This window comes from Homo sapiens, chromosome 6 (assembly GCF_000001405.40).
Source record: "Homo sapiens chromosome 6, GRCh38.p14 Primary Assembly".
Lineage (NCBI taxonomy): Eukaryota > Metazoa > Chordata > Mammalia > Primates > Hominidae > Homo > Homo sapiens.
In genome coordinates this window covers 14,580,450-14,600,126 of record NC_000006.12, presented here as the reverse complement: position 1 = coordinate 14,600,126, position 19,677 = coordinate 14,580,450, and the positions used below count along the sequence as shown (strand labels likewise).

At 42.0% G+C, this 19,677-nt stretch overlaps 1 long non-coding RNA gene across 4 annotated transcripts in view; it reads left to right on the top strand.

The window, feature by feature from the left end:
- LOC101928354 (uncharacterized) overlaps nucleotides 1-13,823 on the top strand; it is a 131,186-nt gene extending 117,363 nt beyond the window's left edge. For all 4 annotated transcript variants that reach the window (XR_241980.4, XR_001743992.2, XR_007059472.1 and 1 more), the window contains 2 exons: nucleotides 439-496; nucleotides 2,528-13,823. This is a non-coding gene — a long non-coding RNA (uncharacterized LOC101928354). The remainder of the gene's footprint in view (nucleotides 1-438; nucleotides 497-2,527) is intronic.
- Nucleotides 13,824-19,677: the final 5,854 nt, after the last annotated feature.

The following is a 19,677-nucleotide window of genomic DNA, read 5'->3' as shown; positions in this document are numbered from 1 at the left end:
CTTCTAGTGAGTATTACTCTACGATACCTTTGTGCCATCTTTCCTCTTAGCAGCTATTTTTGTGAGAGCACTTCTCATACTGTATTGTAATTATTTATCTGTCTGCCTCTTTTATTATACTGGAAAGTCCTTGAGGGTAGAGGCTCTTGAATTCATTGGTGAAAAGCACTGGTATGTCTTAGGTACTTGTCACCCAGTGATGAGGTCACATTTCCATTAATACTGCAGATTGTAATGGGTAGGAGCCCCATGTCATTGGTAGCAGCCTCAATCAGCCCCTGGTGTCGACTGGCCTCTCTACTGCTCTTGGAGCATCTCATGGCGTCTCATGTTCATGGAGCTCGGTTGAGGTTAAGCCTGTGCTGGGGACCCCCCTCCACCTCCCCACCTCTCCTTCCTCAGAATCCACATTGAGTTCCTGCTGCTGTCTCCCAACAGGTCCAGGACTACCCACTTCCCTTGGAATGGTGTTGCCATCACTGTTCTGGCACCGGAGGTAAGGTGGTGTGGCTTTCCTTCACCCAAAAGAAGACATTATGGCAGGAGTGGGGGAGAGTGGGATGAAATGGAACGAGTTTGGGAAGTGAGGTGGGCACTAGATTATGCAGAAGCTTGTGGACATGGTGAGGAGTTTGGTTTTTATTCCTAAGGCAGCAGGAGATATTAAGTAAAAGAGGCCATGATTTGATAAAACTGATTTAAAAGTTTACTCCGACTGCTGAAAACATAGTGGAGTAATCCACCAATATAATAAGTAGAGACACCCATAGGCTATTGCAACAGCCCAGGCAATATAATGGTAGCTTATACAATGGTGTTAGAAGCAGAGACGAGAAGAAGTGGATGTGTATTGGAGATAAAACCAATGCAACTTCCTGATCTGTTACGAATGAGGAAGAAAAGGAAGGAATTCATTTGACTTCCAGCGTTTAGTTGAGCAAATGAGTGGTTAAAGGCACCATTTCCTTAGAAGGGGAATATTGGTGGAGGAATAGAGTTTGGGACAAATCAAGAGTTCCTCTTTGGTGTTTAATTTGAGAGACCTATTGGGTAGTCAAGTGGCCATGCCAAGAAGGCAGTTGGACATGCAGGTATTGAGTTCAAGGAAAAACTGAGGGCCAGAGATATAAATTTGGGCATCATCAAAATATAGATGGTATTTAGAGCCCCGACAATGGATAAGATAGCAGAGAGAGAGTGAGGCTATAGAAGAGAGAAAGATCCACAACCAGGTCCTGAGAGAAGTGAACTTGGGTGGAGAATGAAGGTTGGAAAAGAAGTTTGAACAAGAGCATCAAGCGATATAGGAGGAAAACCAAAAAACAGCAGCAACTTAGAACCCAAGAGGGGAGAGAATTTCAAGATGGGGTGAGTAGTCAAGCGGAATGCAGGAAGCCTGAATAAGGAGAGTAATGCTCACTGGTTTCCTCTTCAGCCCAGCCTGAGGTTATTTCCCATGTCCACATTTCGCCATCCAAGACAGTGGAAATAACCTCAACAGGGTAAGCACATTAGAACACAGTATTCTAACATTAATAGATTTCCCAAGGGGTATTTTATTTGTTCTTAAATAACACAGTGTGCAGGACACCCACATCCTAGTACAGCCTGAACCACAAAGAGCCCTGTTTACAGTTCTCCTTTTATCCTAAAGTTAGGATGACTCCTGAATGTCTGTCTCTCTTCAAGAGAAACAAAGGTTTACTGGTACAGGGTACCCTAGATCTACATAGAGAAAAGGCATAGTCTTGCCACACATTCTCTAGAAAGATAAGCAGGATGACAACAACAACAACAACAAAAAATTACCAAAAGCTTTGGCTCAACCACAGGTAAAAATTTACAATTCGAGAAGGCTTTTGTTCTCATTCTAAAACAGCATTACTGTCACTTCACAGCTTTGGCTCTGAATAACGGTGGGTGTTTGCTTTGCATTTGGGTAATTAAAGAGCCCACCCAGTTGTTTATCCCAAGCATGGGAATAATCTGACCCAAAGGTGACTGAATTCAGGTCTGTAATTCTTTTGCTAAGTTTCGAAATGAGAGTTTTTGTACCTTTAAGCTAAGTTATTTTCTCAAGGCCTAGGATAAGGCCCTGAGTCCATTATGTGACCAGTTACTATTTGTTGCATGAATAGATGAACAAGGAGGCTAAGGGACAAAGTGGAAAAAACACTTCAGTTAGAAAATCTGGATTCTTGGGAAGCTCATTTCTACTTTCTGAACCTTAACATTCTCAAATGTGCCACCTTAAAATCCAAAAGCTTTAAAGTCATATGTTGAAAAAGCACAGTTCAACAGGCAAAAATAATTAAAACAGATTCTATTAATTTCTCACATCTCACAAATGAAATTAAAGGAGATGCAAATAAATCGCCCATAGAACACATTAAATTTCTCTTCCCTCATACCCCACTGTTGCTTTCATATCTCTCTCTCTCCTTAACACCCTCCTAACTGTAGTTGATGAGACTTTATTATACTCCAACTTGCCTACCTTAGCATTTCAACCTGTGTCCCTTTCCAGAAAGGATTCTACATCGTTAGGAGAAAAGAAAAAGGAGAATTTGGGCTTGCACTGAGAGGATTACCTTTGGTGGTCTGGAAGTGGTGGTAAGTCCTGGACAATTCTCACATTAATCGTTTTTGCCTGTTTAAAATGGGAAAAATAATGCCTACTTTATAGGACTGCTAGGAGGCTTAAGTAAGTATGTGTGCTTGTAAACTCTCCACAGATGCATGCTGTCATTATGATCTTTGCTGCACAAGCATTATTTAACGTCCTCAGTGTGATTTTTTAAATTTCACTCTCACAAAAGATAGGTTTCCTCTTCATAATAAACATGCGTCTACTTCCCTTTTTGAACGTAAGATCCCAAACAAAAAGGAAATTGATGTCCTTATAAAAAGGAGCCAATGCAAGAAGCATCTAGAAGTAACTTTAGATGCAGTGTCAAGAAGTTTATTAGTGACAGTCATGTACATAGCACAGTGTAGAGTAATGCAAATCTGTGCTTATACCACCCATTTAAAATAATTTTAGTTAGCACATGAATTTGTTGCATATAAGCAGCACCTTTGACAAGTTATTTATTTAAAAGGGTCAGATTCAGGCATTGTTTCTAAAGTAGAACTTCAATGGCAAAATCTGAAAATGTTATTCTTTCAATTAAAAAAAGTGAGTAGGTGTGTGTGTGTGTGCGTTTATCACTGGTTTCATGAGTATTGCTGATTCTCATAATAGACAGATTAGAAAATCTGACCAACTCTGTATTAATTATCTATTGTTGCACAACAGATTACTCTAATACTTAGTTAAAACAACAGACCTTTGTCAGTGTGTGGTTTTTGTGGGTCAGGTACATAAAAGAGGTTCAGCTGAGTGGTTCTTGTTTGGAATCTCTTATGAGTTTTCAGCCATGCTATTAACAGGGGTTTTGATCATCTGAAGGTTTAACTGGGGCTGAAGAGCCTGCCCCCAAGATGAGTCACTCTTGTTTAGTGGTTAGCAGGAAACCCCAGCTCCATGCTGGCTATTGGCAGGAGGCCTCGGTGTTTCACAATGTGTACCTCTCCATAGGATTGCTTGAGTATCTTCGCAACATGGCAACCGGCGTCTCCCACAGGGACTGATCTAAGAAAGAATAAGGAAGAAGCCTCAATGCCTTTTATGTCTTAATCATGAGGTCAAATACCATGCCTTCTTCTATATTCTGTTTGCTAGAAGCAAGTTACTAAGTACAGCCCATACTTAAAGGAAGAAGAATTAGACTCTACTTTTTGAAAGGAGGAGTATCAAATAATTTTTTAACATGTTGCAAAACCAACATAAGTTCTTTGGTATAAATTGCACTTTTCTATTGTTGGTATTCAGAACAAAACATTTTTCACAATTGCAATAGCTACCTATATTATTGGATTCTCAGAATACAGAACATAAATCTCTTTATTGGTTATGAAGAAAATGAATTCAGAGGCATAAGGAGCTTTCTTCAGGTACAGAGAAGTTCAGTGTCCAACTCTAGACTTAGATCTAGAATTCCGATATATAATTTCATATGCAGTCAGATTACATCTAAATAATAATAGCAAAAACAGGGCTCTTCTACTGTACTGTAATTTACTTTTCCAACTTTTGGCTACTTACAAGATCACAAACATCTGGATTTAAATTGGAAACATCTTCTCAAAAATCCAGATGTTTCCAAATATAGGTGTTTTTTTTTTAAGCCATCAAAAACCCCTTGGTGAATGAGTAACTATGCATGTTGAATGGTTATCCCATTAAAAATCTAACTCCCTTTCCCAATTTACGTTATTCTAGGTGGAAAGTTTCTAATGTAATCCAGTGTTAAATTAGGAGTTTGGACTGACTGAGGCAACAAGATATAAGAGATGTCAGATAGCAAAGTGAGGTGAGAGACAGGACATCAAGTCGGAAATTTTGAAAGAAACTCTCCTGAAACCGCACAGCTTCTGTGCCTCTCCTCCAACATTCCTCACCTAGGCTGAGGTTAAGAAGGGGGATGTTAGAGTGAGGCATTTGAATGTTAGAAAAGCAATCCCCCCACCGCAAATAAGGGAACAGCCTCCACACCAGACTGCTTAGAGTTGATAAAAGACCTCTGTAGGCCAAAGGCGCAAGGAACTCGTACCTGGCTCATGACTTATAAGACTTTGCCTATGAGAATTAGAAAACTCATGAAGAGTTCTTGAATTTTCACTAAGAGGCAGTGAAATCATTACTTCCACAGAACAGGTTTAAAGGGATAGCAGAAAATGAAAATAAAGATACTTTTATAACTATCCCTCATGCAGCCTCTATGTTTAACACATGGATCCACTAAAATATATCACAGACATTTTCTGCCTTTTAAACAAAGTATGGTGAGTTATTAAGAAAAGGTTAAGTTATTTTCAGTGTTATCATGACTAATGCAATAATTAAAAAAACCTTGGATTTGAATACTACATTTTCAAAGTAACTCAATACAATGATGTCCCCAAGGCTTATGGAGATCTATGGGGTTATTTACCCCAGACTCATAATTCTTACATGTGTGTTTCCAATTTTCCTGACACATCATTTGGTTTCTATATTTTCCATTGTCACTTTCACTAATTTCTTCATGCTTCTGTATATTATCTCCTCTCTCTTCTTTTAATTGATGTTTGGGAGATAAACTTGTTGGAATTGTGAGTGAAATAAGATTAAATAGTACCATGATCTTTATTTGTTAATTGCTTGCTAACCAACATTCTACACAGAGAAAGGTGCTGGATAACTGACTTATGAATAAGGGAATTCTGACTCAATTTATGTATTAGGTAAAAATTAAAAACCAGAGGTGTGTACATACGAGGTATTCATTGACATTAAGTATTTGATAAGTAATTTTGGCTTCATTTTTAATAGGATTTTTCTTTATGTACTTTTAAATTAGTTAATTAATTCGGCTAGTACATAGTGAGTACCTATTATGTGCCAGATGCTAAGCTGGTATCCATTAATGCTGAATTGGATTAAACTGTTTAGTCAACTGCTTCTATTTGAGTTCATGAGCTCAATCCTAACTGTGCTCTGTAACTTGGGCCAAGAAATGGATTTTCCATGTCTTTTGAGAATGGCAAATCTCTTATGCCACTTAAGAAGATGAAGAGACAATGCATTTAATACCAGATGGGGAATGAATTCTAACCCAACAAATGGCAGAGGATTTGCTGTGAGGCCTGACAGCAATAAAACTCACACTTTACTTTCATATGATGCTTTAGTTTTCCAGATTTCTTTAAGAACTGTCCTTGTATTATACTTCCACAACAGCTTTCTGAAAGGTAAGAGAACTCTGAATTCTGTTACAAGTGAGGCTAAATGTTCTAATTGCCGAGAGCCAATAACCAAGCCAGGGCTAGAGTTGCATCTTTATTCTGTAAAATCCGCCTTTTCTTTCTTAAATCAGGGCTCCAGCCTGGGCTTTGGAGGCTTAATTTCTGCTGGTATAATATTTATTGGGCTGATTTTGATGCAATGCAGATCACATATTTAAAGATATAATTGGACGTCCTTGTAGCCAAGTGGTTTCTCCAGAGCTCGAAATGCACCATCAGTGCCTGTGTTTGGGAACCTATATATTTCTGACCTCTGCTCTACTTCATAAAAGAGTTGAGTTACCAGAAACAGAACTGAAGGCCAAGAGTGGTTTTCATGCATTGAGCCCTTGGCATTGGTTCCTGGTAGCAAACCTCTGCCCTTCATGCAGCAGGAAGCTGAGAGAAAGACCTGCTTCCCAGGGCTAGATGCTTTGGGAGAAGACATTCCTCACCACCAGGTCAGTGTAGAGGCTTCTGCTGAGGCAACAAGGAAGGACTGAGGCTGGAGAAGGTCCAGGGTGTCCTAATTGCCATTGACTTCGAAGTCCTGCTTCCACTGCAGAGTGAAACTATAAGAGGAAAGAGAAATTTCCTACCCTACTGACACTCCCCACTTCCAGAAGCTCGGCTTCTACCTATGGAGCTGTCAGGCTCCCTTTTCTGGTCAGCACTGGGGAAGTCAGTGATGAGCAAGCCATTGAGGCTGAAACACACATTCAGGGTTTGCAGCCAACACCAACGTTTCCCTCATTGCACATATTGTGTTGGGACAATGGTCTGATCAAATGTTTCCTAATTTCATTGTGGACTTCCTCTCTCTAATGAGTCCCTTTCTCCCAGCTCTAAATAAAGAAGATGCTAAAAACGTGACACACACTACAGATGGGTCACCCACATCTGGGCTTTTCATCTTAAAGACGGGGTGGGGGTGGGGAGGACAGTTAAGCAAGACATGGCTGACTTTTCTTATAAAAGGGGTGAGTGGGGAAAGGGGGGGTAGAGAGATGAGGGAATGAGGCCGAATCATCCACCATTGTTACTGAATGACAGACATATCCATTGGGACTAATTATAATAACGATCCCAGTCCATAACTGACTCAGAGCTTGAGTGTCCCTCTCTATGCCACATTCTCAAATGTGGGCACCTGGATTGCACCCATGAAGTTGACATTTACCAGAGAAACCCATGTACAGATTGATATTTGCATGTGAAAACTGGATAATTGTGTGTGTGAGAGCAATAGAGTTTCTGTACACAATTACCAGCCTCTCCTCGAGATGTTGGGAGCAGTTTCTGGTCCTTTGGGAAACTGGCCTGCAATTTGCTGGTGCAGACTGGAGTTCGGGGAGTGTAGGAGACACATTCCCAGGTTTTAGGGAAGAAAGTGTGATGAGTTGAGATGGATGCATTGACCATCTGTGATGCACTCAGCACTGTAACATGGTGTGTAAGACCACAGACTGTGCCATCGGATGGACCTGGATTCCAATTCCAGCTCCACTACAGCTCTCACTAGTGCAAAGTGCAGGAGAGTGTAGTTTCTTTGAGAAGCTATAAATAACTATATGTTTGAGCATTGGGTCTGCATCGTATTGTAGCAGAATCACGTAGGTCTCTGTATTAGGCAAGGTTCTCTAGAGGGACGGAACTAATAGGATAGATGTATATATGAGGGGGAGTTTATTAAGGAGTATTTACTCACATGATCACAAGGTCAAGTCCCACGATAGACTGTCTGCAAGCTGAGAAGCCAGTGGTGGATCAGTCCGAGTCCCAAAACCTCAAAAGTAGGGAAACCGACAGTGCAGCCTTCAGTCTATGGCCAAAGGCCTGAGAGCCCCTGGCCAGCCACTGGTGTAAGTCCAACAGTCCAAAAACTGAAGAACTTGGAGTCCAATGTTCATAGGCAGGAAGCATCCAGCACAGGAGAAAGGTGAAGGCCAGAAGACTCAGCAAGTCTGCTCTTCCATCTTCTGCTTGCTTTATTCTAGCCAAGCTGGCAGCTGATTAGATGATAACCACTCAGATTGAGGGTGGATCTGCCTCTCCCATTTCACTGACTCAAATGTTAATCTCCTTTGGTCACACCCTCACAGACACACCCAGGAACAATACTTCGCATCCTTCAATCCAATCAAGTTGATGCTCAGTATTAACCATTACAGTCTCCAAGGGAACAGAGTTGGCACAGTGAGGTTAAGTCTTTGGCAGAACAAGATTTGAACCAAGACTGTCCCTTTTAATTGTCCTGCATTTAGCCATCTCACATGGGTGTTCAGTGAGCACTTGGTGAGTAATGGGACTCCAAGCACAAAGATGTTCATCATTCTTCTGTGTGTGAGTTTTCCTCTTCAGTTTGTGAGCCACACTGGGTCCTGTAAAGAAGGAATCTTCAAGCCCAGTTTTAGGGATGCAGGTAATTTCCACAGCCAGTGCTTCCTGTGGTCAGTATTGAGGATCACAAAAGCCACAAGATGCCACAAGGAGTCTGTCAATTTTCTTTTTGTGTGTGTGTGTGTCGTCCAACCTGGAGTGCAGTGGCGCGATCCCGGGTCACTGCAAGCTCCACCTCCCGGGTTCATGCCATTCTCCTGTCTCAGCCTCCAGAGCAGCTGGGACTACAGGCACCTGCCACCAAGCCCAGCTAATTTTTTGTATTTTTAGTAGAGACGGGGTTTCACCATGTTAGCCAGGATGGTCTCTATCTCCTGACCTCAGGTGATCTGCCTGCCTCGGCCTCCCAAAGTGCTGGGATTACAGGCGTGAGCCACCGTGCCTGGCCAGGAGTCTCTCAATTTTCTACCCCTGGCTTTACTGTATCTTTGGCTGAATCCTCTGCCTAGAGTGAACCATGTCTTTCTCTCTTTCTCTTCTGCTCTTCTCTTCCTCAAGCTCAGATGAAGCTGTACCTCTTCTTGGAAAAACAAACCCATGAGAAAGGCACTAATCCTATCGCCACTATATGGATGAGGAAACTGAGTTACAGAGAGATTAAGTAACCAATCCAACATCATAGAGCCAATAAGTAGCAGAGGCAGGATTTGAATACTGACAGATTGGTTCTAAAACCAGTGCTCCTAACCATTATACCATGCAACTGCTCAATTAGAATAGCCGTGTGTGTGTGTGTGTGTGTGTGTGTGTGTGTGTATACTGAGCTGGACCCTCAGTATATACAGTCAGTGAATTTTTAATGAAGAAGAAGGTGAGGAGTTTATTTTGGCCTTGGACAGATCACCAAGTATTCTTGGGTTTAAGGCACATTTTGGTAGTTTTCTAACTTTACCAGCAGAATGTAGTCAACGACTGGGAAGAGTGGGCCTCGGTGGCGTTTTTATGCCACCAACTGGCTTTAAGTGCACCAGCTAAAAGCAGTTTCTTGCTGGAGGAGCTGCAAGAACCAGGGGAAAGTGGCACTATTCGTGCTATGGTGTAAGACATGTTGCAGAGTCACGTGTTCTGTTGCCAATTTTGGAGGAATGCCGTGATGTATTTTCTGTTGCAGCTCTGGGGCTTCTCCTAAACTCCTACTCCAATCCCCAAGGTCTTTTTTTCCCCCTTCTGCAACAGGCTCTAGGAAATCAACACACTTCCCTCTCCCTCAGAAGCTGCCACTGTCCTTTGGGGTTGGTTTCCTTAACACCCTCTGAAGACAAACACAAAACACCTTTTTGTCTTTAAGGCTTTTACTGCTAATCGCAAGGGGAAAACAGAGCATCACAAAAATGGCAATGATGAGAAGCAGTAGATGGTCCAGCATCTTACAAAGTCCATGTTGTCTGGATCCTTTGTAGTTTTAAATTCCTTCTGAAATCATGAAGGAAAGCCTCAAAGATCTTGTGCCCACTTCTGAAGGTTGAACTCGCTTAATCTTCCCACTGTTTTCTGATTTCTCCTTTAGTGAGGTCATAGGAATAATTTTCTTCATGTGACTCCTCTTCCCAGCCTCAACATGTAGTCTCTGGGTATCCAGTAGGTGTTTGACTTCTGTAAAGACTTCCAGAGTGAGTTACTCTGGCTGGTTCAATGCACTGCTCTTTCTCTGGGTCTTTCCCTACACTCACTAAGGTCCCCAAAGGCAGGAACCATTCCCTGTTCTTCTGTCTCCTCTCTTGTTGATGGGTTTATGGCCAAAAGCCTGAGCTTATTGTCTACACAAGCAATGTAGAAATGGTTTATGGCTTGACTTGGGTCTTTATCCCTGAAAGTAATTCTCTGATGGTAAATTTGTACTTTTATACTTGTCATGAATCGAAGGGCCTTCAGGGGAATGTAATTTTTATTTAAAACCATCTAGTAGATGTTGGCAAATACAAAAATAGGAGAGTGGGTTGAGCCAGTCTGCTTGGGTGAATGTCTGCTTGGAAATCGCATACTAGGATATGCTGTATTGAGTAATAAAGTAAAGGCTGTCTGGAGTCAGATAGATGTGGAGGTGCAAGAAGAGGGTGTACAAATGTTCTTAGAGATAGATCTGGAGGTACAAGAAGAAGACGTACAAATGTTCTTACTGTGCTTATACCATTGAATGTACTTTGATGATTTGGTGCCAGAAAAGCAGAGAAACACAACTGCAAAGAAGCAAGAAAGGAGAAAGTAGGATCAGAGGACCTGGGGAAGGGGCAGCCAGACCTGAGAGGCAAAGCTTAGAGATCAGACATCATACTTGGGCTAGGAAAGGCAGCATTTGATGAGGCAAGGGAGCAGGGAATGGCATCTCTAAAGTATGACCTGAGATTGAAAGCACGTCAAGAGAAAGCCAAGAGCCGTGTGAAGCAAGTAAGAAATATCAGCCCCAAGATCTGCTCTCCCTTCAGTATGGGTGGCCTTTTCCTGTTCTCTTGTCTGCACTTTCTCAGGCAGTTGTGAATGATGAGGCCACCCAACAGAAATGATAAGCCCTCGAAACCTCCGTTTTGTTATGCTCTTTTTCCAGCTAAGCAATTTCTTCATGATGTGGGGCAGAGGGTTGGAGCAACGGTTCCCAGCAGACCACCATGAGCTTCTCATGAGAGAAGCTGCCCTGAAAAGATACACGATTGAGAGCAGATGATGATAATCATTATCATCATTTTGGCAAACTTAGAGGAGAACGCATATAGGATACTAAAATCTTATGGTGCTGGCGATGCATTTTATGGGAATCTGGCATTGATTCAGAAGACAGTACTTCTACCCTGAGACTGTTGTAATTTCAACAACTTAAAATACATGCCCACTTTAAGACAATATGTCAAGACTATAGTGAGTGAAATAATAATAATAGCTATTGTAATTTGAATGGGAATTTCTTACCGTAGCCTGATTAGCAGAGGGTCTTTAGTCAAGGACATGCATTAACATCATCTATTGTACGAATGATAATCTACTAATGCAATACTATTAATACAAGAGTCGCTTTGTAGATTTGTCATCATTATGTTATATGTCCAATGAGTGTATGTAAAAACAGTTAAGTATTTCTCCAGTGTCCTTCTCCTTAAAGTAGCCCATATTTTAAGCTCATCCAGCTCTGCTTCACTTGCATGAGCATCTTCCCCAGGCTCCTGGAGAAAGTCTGTTGCTTGGTCTGACATCTCCTGCTTCTCTCCTTGGCCAATCTCCTTTTCAACGTAAAGACCTTATCCCTTATTTCAAGCTCCTGATTAGTTGTCTGTTTCTGTTGGTCTCATGGACCTCACTACCTGTTTTGGATGGATTATCCAGCTCTGAAGGGCTGTCAGACTCTCCTCCCAGAGGACATCCATCTAAGAACCCCTGTTCTTCATCTCAGCACACTTTCTCTTAATACTCTTCTTACTGAATCAAAGAGCTGGGAGCTTCCACCTCAGTGTGGAAGAGCCATAGGCGCCAGACTCCAACCCATGAGCGCAGCTACAGGGGGCTGCAGCCTGGAATGCCCTAGGGGCAGAGCCTACCTCTTGCACCAGGTTGCAGGACATGGAGTCAAAAGAGATGGTTTTGGAGCTTTAAGATTTAATGACTGCCCTGTTGGGTTTCAGACTTGTGTGGGGCTTATTGTCCCTTTCTTTTGGCCAATTTTCCCCTTTTGGAATGGGAATGATACCCATTCCCTGCACCATCATTATATCTTGGGAGTAAATGACTTGTTTTTGAACTCACAGGCTCATAGGTAGAAGGAACTTATCTCCAATTGAGACTTCAGACTTGAAACTTTTGAGTTAATGCTGAAACGGGTTAAGACTTTGGGGGACTATTGTGAAGGCATGATTGTCTTTTGAAATGTGAGAAGGACATGGGATTTGGGGGGCCAGGGGTGGAATGATATGGTTTGGATGTTTGTCCTCTCACAATTTCATGTTGAAACGTGATTCACAATGTTGGAGGTTGGATTATGGCAATGTATTCCTCACGAATAGCTTAGCCCCATCCCCTTGGTGATGAGTGAGTTCTTGCTCAGTTAGCTTATATGAGAGCTAGATGCTTAATGAGCCCAATTCTTCCTGCACTCTCTCTTGCTCGTTTTTGCCATGTCATACACCTGCTCCCCCTTCACCTCTCACCATTGATTGTAAGCTTCCTTAGGCCTCACTAGAAACTGAGCAGTTGCTGGCACCATGTTTGTACAGCCTGTAGAACCATGAGCCAACTAATCCTCTTTTCTTTATAAGTTACCTAGGTAGTTACCAGGATTTTTTTTTTTTTTCGAAGTCTCAGTCTTGTCCCCCAGGCTGGAGCGTGATGGCGCGATCTTGGCTCATTGCAACCTCCGCCTCCGGGGCTCAAGCGATTCTCCTGCCTCAGCCTCCTGAGTAGCTGGGATTACAGGCACCTACCACCACACCCGGCTAATTTTTGTATTTTTAGTAGAGACAGGGTTCCACCATGTTGGCCAGGCTGGTCTCGAACTCCTGACCTCAGGTGATCTGCCCGCCTCGGCCTCCCAACGTGCTGGGATTACAGTCGTGAGCCACTGCGCCTGGCCCAGGTATTTCTTTATAGCAATGCAAAAACAGACTAATACAGAGGCCGTTAAGCTGCCTGCCACAGCTATGTAAATAGTGCTCACTACATGATATTATAGTGCATGTTATAGGGAGTCATGATTATATTTCTTTTCTATACAACTTTTTATTTTCTTTGGACCTAATATTTGCCTCTTTTTTTCTATTTGCTTGTGTTTTACATGTATCTATTATTAATTCATCCTTAAACCATCTGATACAGCTGACAATCTTAATTCCTAAACATGCCAACTATTCTTTTAGTTCCATCTCTCTTTTCTTGGCATCATTCCTCAAGAGCTCTCTGTCTTTCTTCTCCAATTTGGGTTTTGCCTTTTTGGGGTGCAGCATAGGTGTTTTCTTGTGGTTTCTCTTCACTACCATCCTGATTTTTTTCTCTCTCTCTTCTGTTTTAGACTCTCTGTTTCCAGGATCCCATGTCTTTGTTGTTGTTGTTGTTGTTGTTTATTCTCCCATTTAACCGACTCACATCAACATCTTTCTACCAGTTCTCCTGTTATCCTGGCCTCCTGTGTGATCTGTAACCCAAACACCTGGGTTTTTCCAGGAATCTTCAAGGAACAAGATCTTGTATTTGTGGCTTTGTCTGGGGCAGGTTTAAATTTCAACACTCCCTGGTCTGCTAACTCAGCCGCAATTCACCTCTCTTCCAGCTCTCAGCTTTTGTTGATATCAATTGTGTACTGTCATCTCTCAAAGTCTCTTTGGCCGTGTAGGCTTGAGCCGCTTTTTATATCTTGCTGATATTTTAGTGAGATTTCAGCAGGGAGAGAAGAATGGGTGTGTGGACACCTCTGTGCTGGGAACTGATTACTTGGCTTCCACACTTGGTTCAGCTCTTCCACTGAAGGCATGGGATTGTTTATTTTTCCCACAGATATTTTTGAAATATTCTAAAATGGAAGCTATTGCACTAACTGCCACTACATTATTTATTTTGTCATGTAGTAGGGTATCTGCTGAGATGGCCAGACCCCATTGCTCTATTTTTTTAATAGTATAATTTCTTTTTTGCTTTGCTTCAAAGACTCTAAATTATTTTAATAGGTTTATATATTTTTCTTTTCCTCTTGAATTAAGACAGAAGTAATTTTTCCAATGACTCTGTTATCTCAGTTTTGTATTAAACCTCTCCAGCTTCACTTAGTGGCTCCAGCAGGACAATCTAAGGTGTGTAATAGGAATGTCTCAGTCTCACTTGCCCACTCATACAAATGAAACCATGGTTATAAAAATACTCTTGCTGGCTGCAGAAAACTAAACTGCATCCAGGATTCTTTTCTCAATTTTTTTCCATGAATCCCTAGGGATATTAACATGTGTCCAGAAATCAGTTGTGGTCATTTATGACTTCACTGCTGGCTAAGCCAGGACCACACAGTAGTCCCATGCTGGAAATTTCTGCAGGGTTCACTCTGTAGTGAGAACATTGCTGGTACTGCTGGAGGTACCATTTTCCATGAAAACAGGCTCCTCCTCTCTCTGACACAGAGGAACTAGGCATCTCTAGCCTCAGCGTCAGTCACCCTTGCAGGTGACAGACAAGCTCCAGTGTTGGGTGCTTGGGAGTGGAGATTCTCAGGCTTTCTATGTTATGACTTGCCTCTTAACCCTGGCATGGCTGAGCTTTGGTCTTCCAGCTCAAACCCTAATAGATCTTCAGGGATGGGGTTCCCATCAAGCAGCAACCTCCACTCACTTGCAGTAGGTCTTTGTTAATCCATCCATGAGATATCTCCATGGTAAGAGGAAGGATATTCTCACCCAGCTTTACTGCCTGGACCCAGTGTAATCTGGCTCTATCAACTCAACATACTCTCACCACAGCATCCATCCTCCTTAAAACTTCCACCCTTTCCTGGGAATTCTCTCTCTCATTCATTAGGCATGCTTCTATATCCTAGAAACCCAAGGGGTATTAGAGTTCAATCCACCTTTTCCTCCATGAGCTCCTCAGTTCTTATGTGGATTTAAGTACAAATAGACTCAGGGGAGAATCCACCTTTCCTAGCCCTCTGTCCCAACTCTTCTGGCCAGCCATGTCTACTGCACAGTGTAACAGAATAGCTGAAGGGAAATTTTGTTTAAGACAGTAATCTCCAAAGTGAGTTTCACAAGTGGTATGGGAAGGAAAAAATATATAATTTCTATTTATTTATTTATTTATTTATTTATTCATTCATTCAGAGACAGAGTCTCATACCGTTGCCTGGGCTGGAGAGCAATGGCGCGATCTCGGCTCACTGCAACCTCCGCCTCCCGGGTTCAAGCGATTCTCCTGCCTCAGCCTCCCGAGTAGCTGGGATTACAGGTGTCTGCCACCACGCCTGGCTAATTTTTTTGTATTTTTAGTAGAGACAGGGTTTCACTATGTTGGCCAGGCTGGTCTCAAATTCCTGACCTCGCGATCGGCCTCCCAAAGTGTTGAGATTACAGGCGTGAGCCACTGCACCCAGCCAATTTCTATTTATTTTTTAATTGCATGCTTTAAAAAAATTTGCATTCATGTTTTACGTGCATGTGTAAACATTACAATCTATGGTCAAACATTTTTTCTGAGTGGAGTACAGTCTTGTAACAGTAGGTAATCCAGCAGTGTCCACAAGATGGACCTGTGGGGCCCCAGACACCCATTGTGTTCGTGTATTTAATAATTTCACTTGAAGGCTCACTGTTATAGTGTTTCTGTGTGGATATCAAGACTGCTTACTCGTTTTTACTTATCATTAGGGTGACGAAGGTTTTTGCTTTCCAGTCTCAGGAAATTCACACAATATTTGCCTACCAAGGCTTTTAGGTTCATAAAGCAACATTAAAATATAAAATAAATCGTATTGAACTTCTGGTATTACTACTGTTATTACCTAAATTTTGTCACCTGTGGTGAGATACATTTTCAATCTTTTTTCCACTTGTGAACCAAATGCTCCCTTTAGGTTTCTTTACAATTGCTATGTGGCTAATTGCTTTCAGCTACAGAAAGCCTAGATATGTATGGGTTTCTCTTTGAATTAGGCCTTCAAAAATTTGAAACAAAAAAAATTGACAAACGAATCTATTTACCACAGCAAACTGAACTGCATATATTCCTATTAAGGTCCATTTATGCATTGCTGGTAGACGTTGCTGACTTCCCAGACTTTGGGACTGGCTTATCCAGATGGACTCACGTGAGGCCACGTTGAAGAAGGGTAGCAAATCACTCAATGGCATAAACACTGAGCTGCAATATTCGTGTGGCAAGAGGGCATGTGTGGAGAGCATGGGCCGGGTCTGACTTGCTAGTTGCATAGTCTCTAAGGCCAGTGACTCAGGTGCCATAGAGCACTGCATCTGGGATTTATGCTGTCTCGAAGTCATGTGTTTCATTCCTTACTCCATATCCACGGCCATCGCCAGCCTCCAAGAGGACCCCTGGTGATCCCCACCTCCTGATTTTCATACCTGTATGGACTCTTCCCACATTGGACAAGGGGTGGTCTGTGTGACCAATAAAATATGGCAAAAATGATTGCATGTCACTTCCAAGATGAGGTTATGAAAGACACTGTAGCTTTTGTCTTGGTCACTTTCCTTCATTCTCTTTCTCTCTTGGATCATTTGATTCTGGGGAACTGAGATACCGTGTCATGAGCAGCCTTGTGGTAGGCCCTGTGCTAAGTGCTGGGTATACAGGGAGTGCACCATAATTGTGCCTGTGAATAGCCACTGCTCTCCAGCCTGGGCAACATAGTGAGACTCTGTCTCTAAAAATTTTTTTTTAAATTAAAAAAAATTTTTAAAAATAGAGAAAAAGGAGATGTTGACAAGATAAATAATGTGGGAAACTTAATAGGCAGAAGTATCTGAAATTCAACTAGAAGAAGGAACAGAACTTGTATTGATATTCTGGGGCCATACATAGCTCCAAGAAGAATTGCTGAGTAGAAAGATACCTGCTAGAGGAGTAAGTTGCTTTATGATCAACTCATGTATTCATTTTTTCATCCAATAATTTCTATTGAGTATCTGTTGTGCATTAATCACTGGGGTAAGTCAGAGGTAGCTCTAACCTTCATAAAGCTTAATTGTACAGAGAGAGAGAGAGATACTAATTGTACAAAGAGAATTAAATCGCTATTAAAAAATTATACTTAAATAAAAAGTTTCCTTTAAATACTGGGTATACAGAGTTAAGATACATTCCCATTTAAAAAAAAGTATTCAGTTTTTCAGAGGAGACAGCAATGTTCTCAAGCAGTGCAGTGCACCATAGTACGTGCAACAGCAGAAGAGTGCATAAATCTTCCCTGGAGCTTCAAGGAAACCATGCTTGTCTCAGCTTTGGTTCATTGAAGAATTGCCTTTTAAACTGGAGAGGAAAAAAAATAGATGCCTTGAGGCAAATGGGGAGGTGGAGAGGGGAAAGGAGTCTTTTCAGGCAGACAACTACAGATGTAAGGGCAGGAAATTGAGTTCTATATGAATTTAATGGGAAAAAAAAAGGAACTTAGAACTTTCTCTCATGGACCCCAATGGAAATATAAAAGATGTGTAAGAGAAAATGTCTGTCCTCTAAAATCTTATGCCTTCCCAAGATTTGAAGCCATAAGAGATCCCTTGAAACTCTGAGAATGCTTGAACCTGATGCTGTCCAATATGGCAGCCACTAGACCTATGTGGCTATTTGCTTCTTGAAATGTGGCTGGTTTGAATCAAATGTGCTGTTAAGTCTAAAATACCAAAATTTGGAGATGTCACAAAAAAGGTAAATTATCTCATTAATAATTTTGCATTGATTACACATTGAAATGATGTTTTTGGTATATTGAGTTACATAGAGCACATTGTTAAAATCTATTTTATCTCTTTCCTTTCAGTCTTCTCAAAGGGACTGCTACTAAGTTTAAAATGCTATCTGTGGTCTGCCTTGTGGCTGGCATTGTGTCCCTTGCGGACAGTGCTGGTTTATAAGCTGCTGTGGCAATGGCCCAAGAGAGCCTCTGGCACCAGCATTGTGGATGGGAAAGAAGGAAGAGGGCCCAGACATATTGAGAGGACCACAACCCATGTGCTTTCCTCGACACTCACTTGGTGCTGAGGGGGTCTAGTGTAGGGCCTGGGGAAAGCTGAGCTGGAGAAGAGGTGGTATTGGGTTCAGATTCAGAGATGGGTGCTGTGTGCAGGCAGCCCTCTGACATGGGTGCTGACACCCATTCCTGGTGACTGGTGCAAGATAATGCATTCACTCCACACCCTCCCACCACATCGGAAGCTTTTTAGTTCAGAATTCTTTGGAACATTTGCTTCCCTTTTGCTTCTAATATTATAGCATGGGTGGAAGAAAAGAGAAGGGGCTGTGCTCTTAGAAAGGGAAGGGATACTTGGCAATAGAGGAGAAGCCTATCTAATGTCTTTAGAGGAATTGAGTCTGGTTCTGGACACATTCCATTTGCTCTGCTGGAAGGTCTGAGAGTCTAACAAGTCTCTATCAGGCTGCATGATTTGGGGTCTTCATTGGGTATATGTTGGGGCAACCCATATCTTATTTTCTTGACTTGTAAAGGCTTGGAACTAGGCTTTATTGGGCTGAAAAAGGAAATAGGAATTTCCTGGGTCTAAAGACTTCATGTATTGACCCGTAATTGGAGGGACTGACCAGATCAATTGCTGGAGGTCATCTGAGTTGTTGACCAGGCTCTGAAATGGGGTGCTGATTCTATTTTAGTCTCTCTTACAAATTGCTGTGCGACCTTGCCAAAGATAGCAGCATCTCTCTGTCTTTATATCCTATTGGTTAATCAATTTCTGGATCTGAATAGCCAGGGTGCTCTGTAGATTTACTTTAAAACATTTTTTAAGTACACCATCAATAAGAACATCGTGCTTTTTTAGGTAGAAAGCACTTTGGAGGAGAATTATTGATTGTGTTCCAGGACCTCTGAGTGGAACTGTAGTATTAATAGAAGAGAACATTGCCCAATTCTGGGAATGTTGAAGCAGGTGGAAATGAACTGGGGGAACAGCATCTTCCGTGCCCCCTTCAGGTTACTCCAGACAGTTAAGGCATATGTAGTCTGAACTATCGCCACACAGCAGACCCAGGCTGGCTAGCCCTCCTAATCAAAGACTTCGTGTAGAGTTTTAGGGAATAACTTTGTTTTAGTTTGTTAGGTTGCCATAACAAAGTACCACAAATTGGGTGGCTTAAACAGCAGAAGTGTATTCTTGCATAGTTCTGGAGGCTGGAAGTCTGAGATCAGGGTGTTAGGAGGGTCGGTTTCTTCTGAGCGTTTTGAGCGTGACTCTATTTCATGTTTCTCTCCCTAGCTTTTGGTGGTTTGCTGGTAATCTTTGGCATTCCTTGGCTTGCAGGCTCATCATCTAGATCTCTGCCTTCATTTTCACATGATGTTCTCTCTGTGTGCATGTCTGTGTCTAAATTTCTCCTTATAAGGACACCAGTTGTATTGGATAAGAGCCCACTCTAAATCATTGTAACTTGATTACTTTTTGTTTCATGGTGGGCAGGTCTATGCAACCCTACTCCCAAAGTCCAAGGAAGCTAAGAGGCTAAAAAAAGAGGCTGACAAATCCAGTTTCTTAGAAAGAACTGGGACTTATGAACAGAAGCCATGTCTGGGTTTCAGGGGATGGCGAGACAAGATGGTGGACCGCTGCACCATTATCCCCCAGACCCAGGGCTTGTAGACCATAAAAAAAGGGGTGGTTCAGAACGGATTTGTGGGACAATTGAAGTATGATAACATCAAGGTTGTCTTACCTAAGGGCAAGATTTACAGTAAGTACCTAAGTTTACGCAGGAAACAATAGATGA